At 44.2% G+C, this 7663-nt stretch overlaps 1 annotated feature.

Annotated features, from left to right (window-relative positions):
* Positions 1–190: an enhancer, noted in NCBI's record as "active region_27403". NCBI's record gives its function as "activates an Ori minimal core promoter by ATAC-STARR-seq in GM12878 lymphoblastoid cells {active_cell/tissue: GM12878}" and the evidence as "EXISTENCE:reporter gene assay evidence [ECO:0000049][PMID:35858748]".

Here is a 7663-nt window from a genome sequence, read left to right on the forward strand (position 1 = left end):
TGACAGCCTCCACATGGGCTCAGGACCTCACGTTCTACTCTTGCCAGGGTGGGGCCAACCTGCTTACCCTACCACTTAGGGAAAAGTAACAAAAGCCTTGGACCCACTCCCCTGAACCCCCGTACTCATCCCACTCAAACCTGCAGCATTCGCTGTTTCCACTGCCTCAGCCTGTGCCCCTGCTGCCACCTACATGCCAGTCAAAGGCACTGCATCTACTGCCCTAACAGCAATCATGGCTTTTACCTTGATTCTAGAAGTCCACAGGAGGGTCAGTAAACGTGGTAGGGATGCAAGTTCTGAGCACAAAAACAAGGGTGCTCTCCAATGTGGAGAGGTAATCTCTCCCCGTCCCCAGCCTAGCATCCCACAGAAGAGCAAGGTGCAGGTCAGTGGCCTGACAGGCCTCAGGCAATGGAGGAGGCTGTCTGTGGCTGTGGAGCTGGGATGTTGTTGACACCTGAGCCTCTAGTCATGAAGACCCTGTGAGAAACCCGAGCAGATGATGGTTGTCAGGTTGTCTTCACAGGCAGGCACTGACTGACCTCTTCATCACAAACATTGACTGGTGCTGGGGGACCCTCAGTTCACCCTCACAGGTGGGTGCTGACTGGTGATGGAGGGTCCCTCAATTCATCCTCACAGATGGGCGCTGACTGGTGATGGGGGGGTCCTCAGCTCATCCTCACAGGTGGGCGTTGACTAGTGATGGGGGGTCCTCAACTTCCTCTCAGGTGGGTACTGGTGAGGGGGGTCCCTCAATTCATCCTCACAGGTGGGTACTGTTGATGGGGGTCCCTCAGTTCACTGTCACAGGTGGGCACTGGTGATGGTGGTCCCTTCAGTTCACTGTCACAGGTGGGCACTGGTGATGGCGGTCCCTCAGTTCACTCTCACAGGCGGGTGCTGACTGGTGATGGGAGACTCCTCGCACCTCATCCCCACAGGTAAATCCTGTTGTTTGGGTTTAATACTACCGTTTCCTCTTCCCAACCATCTTCCTTTTTTTTCTTTTTTTTTTAAATATATATATATATTTTTAAATTATACTTTAAGTTCTAGGGTACATGTGCATTGTAGCACTACTCACAATAGCAAAGACTTGGAACCAACTTCCTTCTTTTTCTAAAAGACCTTGCCCTGCCCCCTTGGATAGGAGAGAGCATATATCCCAATCAGACCAACCACAATGTTCTGCAGGACTTTTGTTAAATTTACTTTTATTTTTATTTATTTTAATTTTGAATGAAAGCCACCAGAGTGTGCAATCCATGGGACTGTTATGTAAAGTTCATGTGAATACTGTTCCATGCATGTGGCATCTTTGGAGAATGTGGGTCTGGACTCCAAGAAACATGTTCCCCATTTATGGAGAATGAAAGTCTATAGAAGGAGAGAACAAAAATAACACACCAGCAGACAGAGAAAGCCAAGGGAGAGAGAGAAGGAGGGAGAGAGATGACAACCTCACTCCAATAGTCGATCTTCTCATTCCTAATCTCCTCTTTCTCAGACATTTCAAGTAATCATTTTTTGCTTAGGTTAATTTAAGTTAATTTGTGTCTCTAGAAGGCAAGGGAATCCTGCTTAGTAAGTCCAGCATGGGGAGAAGGTCTTTGGATCAGACAAGCATTAACAAGGGCTGGGAGGGGCGAGAGTACCTATCTTTCAGGGCTGCATGACTGTTCCAAGGTGGTTCTATATTTTATCTCATTTTCTTCTCACATATCCAAGTGATTTTCACTGCTGTTAGTCTTGTTTCCAGCTGAGTATCTTGCCTAAGACCATGCAGCTAATAGTAGGCAGAGGAGTTCGCAGGGCCCTCCCACCTCACCAGTGTCCTGCAGTGAGCTTGCATGCTCATTGCCCTGCTCTGTCTCCAGAAGCTCCTAATTCCTGCCTCTGACAAGGCTCAGGAATGAACTATTCCTTAGACCGTTGAATTAAACACTGCTTAATTTCTACCTGTAAGGTACATGCATGCCCCCATCCCATAAGCTTCTAATCCCCTTATTGACCTCCTACAGTAAAGGGGTCTTAGGGGCAACCTTATTGAACTATTTGAGTCAAACATTTGGTGCTACAACTTATCAGGAACTGCTGGTGCATAAGGCCACTGCTTTTGCCAATCTATCCCATTGCTCACAGGGGTCCAGGTGGAGGGTGCCCTATTGCTACTGGAAATCTAGCCCTTACTGTTAGAGGCAGGATCATTTTGTTGTCTGACAGATCTTGCAATTTTAAATATTTCCTTTTCCTGAGCTATGTAACCCACCGAGGTTTCCAGGATGTATTTGGCTTGTAGTCCAAAACAACTGTTTGACATGCTGAAGAATGTTTTATCACTTCTCCAAAGAAGAAAAAGTGGATTTGATAAAGATTATTTCCCCGAGGCTCAGTGTCACTTGGTGGCTCACCTCCCATAGCTGCTACAGGCAAAATTACATCCACTTTTTAAAATATCTTCCATGACAATGTTCTCTTTGAAAAATTAGGTCTGGGCCTCTGCCAGCTGGAGATCTGATGTAACCAAAGATCTTAATCCAGCTAGAGAAAGAAATTCACTGAAAACAGAAAGCAAACTGGGGTGAATGTGCTGTTTGCATTCCTACTGAGAAATAAGATCTGACACCATGCATATCTGGGAAGGACTCCCGCCAGAGCTGTGGGAACCTTGCTTCACAATAGGAAATCTGGTTTGAGAAAGAAACCACTCTGTTTCTCTGTCTGACAAGATGGAATCCTTCATTTCCTGATGTTCTCATGTTAATCCCCTAAGCAAGACTGGCTGGCAAACAGCACTGCTGAGATGAGGGATGAAAGTTCTAGAGAGGAAATGGAGACAGTGTTAGGTGCTGGCCCCTGTCCGTGAATTCACTGTGAGTCATGTTTTTTCTCCATTTGTTCCAAACTCCAAACTGTTTGAGCAAGACAAATTAAAATTTGGGGAAATTACAAAAAATAAAACTTCAGATATCACCTCCAAAATATTAGGTGGTACCTGGCACTCTTTTAGTAAAACTTGAATCCCTATTGAAGCTTTTTGGAAACTCTGAAATGATAGTCCTGATTAAAGCCACCCAACAAAGTTCAAAGGAGGAAGAAAATAGTCTTTGAAATTATTAAAGAGCCAAGCCATTTGAAAACATGTCTGTACTTTCAAGATACTAAATAATTTTTAAAATAATGGTCTATATGCTCATACTTCATAAGGATATAGAATTCTTTACTATCTATTTATGAGCAAATAAAAAGCATTTTTAAAAATACGATTATAAATTTGTTCATTTAATGTTTTTCACTTCTGCATTAGTGCTTTCTAAGACCATAAATTTCCAAAATGCAGAAACACATTGAATTGAGTTTCATGTTCATAAACAATAAATTCCAGGAGACACCCCTTATCATCTGTTGCTTACAAATAAATATTTTATCCACTTAGAGAAAGAGGTACTCTGTGGCCCCCTCAGTGAGATCATCTCAACCTGCGGAGAGAAACTATTCACCTGATCCTGTAGCAGCCGTGCAGTGTTGAGAGGAAAGTTCTCTGAGTGTTTTTTTCCTGATACCTGACATCCCTCTCAAATGTATGCGTCTTAGTTTAGAATTCCCTGTCTACCTGTAAGGTACGTGCATGTCCCCATCCCATAAGCTTCAAATCCCCTTGTTGACCTCCTACAGCAAAGGGGGCTTAGGGGCAACCTTATTGAACTATTTGAATCAAACATTTGGTGCTACAACTTATTGGGAACTGCTGGAATCACTGTGCCCACACAGGTCACAAGCATGCTATCCATACCTGAGCACTGGAACCAGCCCTCAGAGCTGTGGAGCAGCTGGATGCCAGCCTTCAGCACCCATGGAGCCGCTTCTGCTAATGGCCACAGTGGAGAACTTAGAAATGAGTGATTTCTATGGTATAGGAATTATATCTCAATAAAACTGTTATTTTTTTTTCCAAAAAACATCTAGGGATTTATATTTAATATTGACTCTAAATCAGTGATCCTCAAACTCAAACAAGCATCAGCATCACCTGGAAATTTGTTCAAACACAGATTGCTGGGCCTCACCCTCACTGTTTCTGAGTCAGTAATTCTGGGGTGGTCCTGAAACTTTGCATATCCAATATGTTTCTGGGTGATTTTGATGCTGCTGCTCTGGGGGTTGCACTTTGCGAACCACTGCTCTAAAACAGCAACTTTTTGAATCAAGAAAAGCACTTGCTACGAACCAAAGCCTGCCTCCTATTTCTGTGTGGTCTGTGGTTGGCATAGGCTGATACCTGAGAGGATAAAGAAACCAGAAGAGCAGCGAGAGTCAGCCAAGTCAAATGACCCTGTCAGCAGAACTAAAAACCATCCTGCCTCCCGACTGAAACAGTGCTGACAATAGCAAGGACAAGGTGTAGCTCCGAGAGTTGTTTATGAGCAACTGTGAACATACCTTTATAATCACTCGTCCTTAGAACTGGAAAAGCAAACAACTTTTGGGGGAACCATGTGTTCTTTTGTGGCCACAGACTAATGGAAGGAAGCCCCCATTCTCACTTATGCCTTTTTTTCAGGTAAGGGCATATCAACCTTGCAATCATATTAGAGTCTTTATTTAATTGTATTAGTCCATTCTCACACTGCTGCAAGGACATACCCAAGACTGGGTAATTTATAACGGAAAGAGGTTTAATTGACTCACAGTTCCGCAGATCTGGGGAGGCCTCAGGAAACTTATAATCACGGTGGAAAAGGAAGCAAACTCGTCTTTCTTCAAATGGCAGCAGGAAAGAGAAATGAGTGCCCAGTAAAGGAGGAAGTCCCTTCTAAAACCATCAGATCGCATGAGAACTCACTATCACAAGAGCAGGATGGGAAAACCACCCCCATGATTCAATTATCTTCACCTGGTCCCACCCACAACATGTGGGGATTATGGGAACTACAAGATAAGATTTGGGTGGGGACACAGTCAAACCACATCATTAATTAACATATTTCTCTTTTTTGTAATTTTTTTGTAACAAAGTGAGAGATTCTTAACCGAAAAACTATATTATGAATTTAAACAAATGGCAGGCACTTTGGATAGCTCCCTCTCCTCACCTTTCCTCCCTTTCTGTGTCATGATTCCACAGCTTACCAACTGTGTGGCCCAAGCCTCAATTTTTAAATCTGTACAATGAAAGTATGATACTACTTCTGAGGGCTGTCAAGAAGATTAAATGAGATAAAGAACATTCCCAACTTAGAACGGGGCCTGCTATGCAGCAAGCCCTTCATGTTAGTGGGTTCTGGAACCTGACTGCCTTCAAGTTCTTCAGATCCAGGAGTTGCCATCCTGTACTATAATCTCAAATAGCAGAGTCTCCTCTGCCCCACCCTGTGTGCCTATAAAAAATGACAAGTGGGGATTTCTGGGAATCTGGGGAAAGCACAGCCATTCTCCAAATCAGTTCTGGTTGCCGTTTGTCATCTCTTGCTCCAGCCCTGTAGCCTTGTGTTTGGGTCACTGGCTACTTCTCATAGCTATTTCCTCCTCTACTTAACTGTTTTGCTCAAGGTGCTGTCCTTCTTAGGGTGTAGCCTGGAATACAGAAAGCCGCTTGGCTATCAATATCTGATATGGCCTGTTTTTGCTTGGGCCACAGGGTCCGTAAATTACAGATTAGCGATGGTTGAGAAAGAATTTGATAGGGCTCATGGCTGCAAATTAACAACTCACTTTAGTTTCAACTTAAAAGAATATATTAACATATAATAGGGAGCTCCCAGAATATCAGGAAGGGCAGGGAAGGAAAGCCAGAAACAATACCCAAATTATACTGTGAGGTGTTCAGGAAAAACCCTGTAGCCACTGCCTCTGGGCACAGACACCTGAGCTCATTGTGCACACCCTCGGCCAGACACTACCTTTCAAAGATTTGTCTTTCAAAGGGTTCCTCTGCAAGCTGATCTTTCACCATCACCCTCACTTTCATTACTTCACACCATACTGCCTTCTTCACATCAGTGCTCTCTAGGTTGAAGCCACATGTGAGATTTGCAGAGTCCAAGCCATGCATCAGTGTCCTGGTGGAAAAGAAGACTGGGAACAAGAGTTTCTGGTTCTACCATGTGGAGATGAAGCTGTAAACAGAGAGGTGTGATTCAAAGTTCTGTGAAGCAAGGAATCAAAACAAACATCCATACAGATAGACGGGCCTCAGGACAGCCTTCCAGAGTCCCTTGCACACCAGTAAGGTGAGGAGAAAGATGCTAGGAGTCCCACAAGCCTCTATGGGGCACAGGAGTACTTAGAGGGCTGGTGGATCCAAAGGGCCTGGTCGGAGCAAGGGGAGTAGAGAACACAGACGCTGATAACTGAAGTCCACTGTGGGATATTGGGACACTTCAGGCATAGATGCAAAAAGAATAAAAGGCCAATACCCAAAGGCTACAGCACGAATACCTTGAGCAGAGGCCACATTTTGAGAAAGAGAATGGTACTTGGACCAGACACCTATCCTGGAAACCAAGATAGTAATGGAAGCCTCTGTGAACTCTGCCACCCCAGGGGAAAGATGAAAGCACAAGGGAAGGAGAGAGCTCTGTGTGTGACAGCACATATGTAGCCAAATTGCAGGGTCAGTAACTCACCACTTGCAGAGTACAATTAACAAGAGCAGGGTCTGATATAAAGAAAGCGACTTTTTATGCCATAGCTCACTTAGAGGAAGAAGTACAGGCTTCCTACCTTAAGGGTACTGCTTCCCTGCTGGGGCAGAAAGCAGGGGTTTTTAAAAGGGGGACTTGGCATGAATGACATGCAGGACAGGGGCAAGCAGCGAGGGGTCTATGTGACTCGTTTTGGTGCCTTATCTACTGGGTGGTCGAGCTGGCACCTTTACCAGCAGAATTAGATTGTAAAATGGTTGCTGTCCCAAGGTGCTCTGCAGGTGGGAGAGAGTTTTGTAGTGGGCATACTTCGGGTTGTAAATTGACTGTTGTCTTTCAAGGCAATCTTCTGGTGGAAGAGGTTTCTGCTCTGGAGCTCCTAAGCACATAGTTAGATAAGCTTGCCCTGTATCCCTGGTGAAGGAAAGGTAAAAGGTTATAATTGCATCTCCAAAGAGCTAAGTAGGAAGTGGGGAATAGGGAAAAAGGAGGAAAGACAAAAGAAGAAAAAAATATACAAAATAACTTATTCTCTTTCTCTTAGAAAAGTAGGGGTACTTGGTTACAGGTAGAAAGCCCAGTGTTATATCATAAATCAGTGTTATATTGAGTGTGCAAGTGTGAAAATGAGCAAAGACCAACCAAATAGGAAAAACAAAGGCTATTTATACAGAGCTTGCTATAGCAAGCGGTCAACCACCATCACTGTGTTTTGGCAGAGACTGAAAGGCAGAGAGATGAGTGGGAAAACTTAATCGAGGAAAAAGCCAAGACTTCGAATGTGCTCTGAGTGGAGGCTGCTGGTCCAGGGAAGATGGAGGTGACTGACTAGAAGGAGTGTCCTATGTAATTGGAACGGGGGTGCATCCAGCTTCCTCTGGTTAGTCCTAAGTTGGAAGTAGAGACAAAAGTTAAGGAAGCTGCCAGTTATTGATCAAGTCCTGGCTATTTTGGACAGATTATTACTGAATTGATTGTTTAGCTTTTTGGATTGTTACTAGACATAGTAATCT

The sequence above is a fragment of the Homo sapiens genome, chromosome 8, assembly GCF_000001405.40.
Source record: "Homo sapiens chromosome 8, GRCh38.p14 Primary Assembly".
NCBI classification, from domain to species: Eukaryota; Metazoa; Chordata; class Mammalia; order Primates; family Hominidae; genus Homo; species Homo sapiens.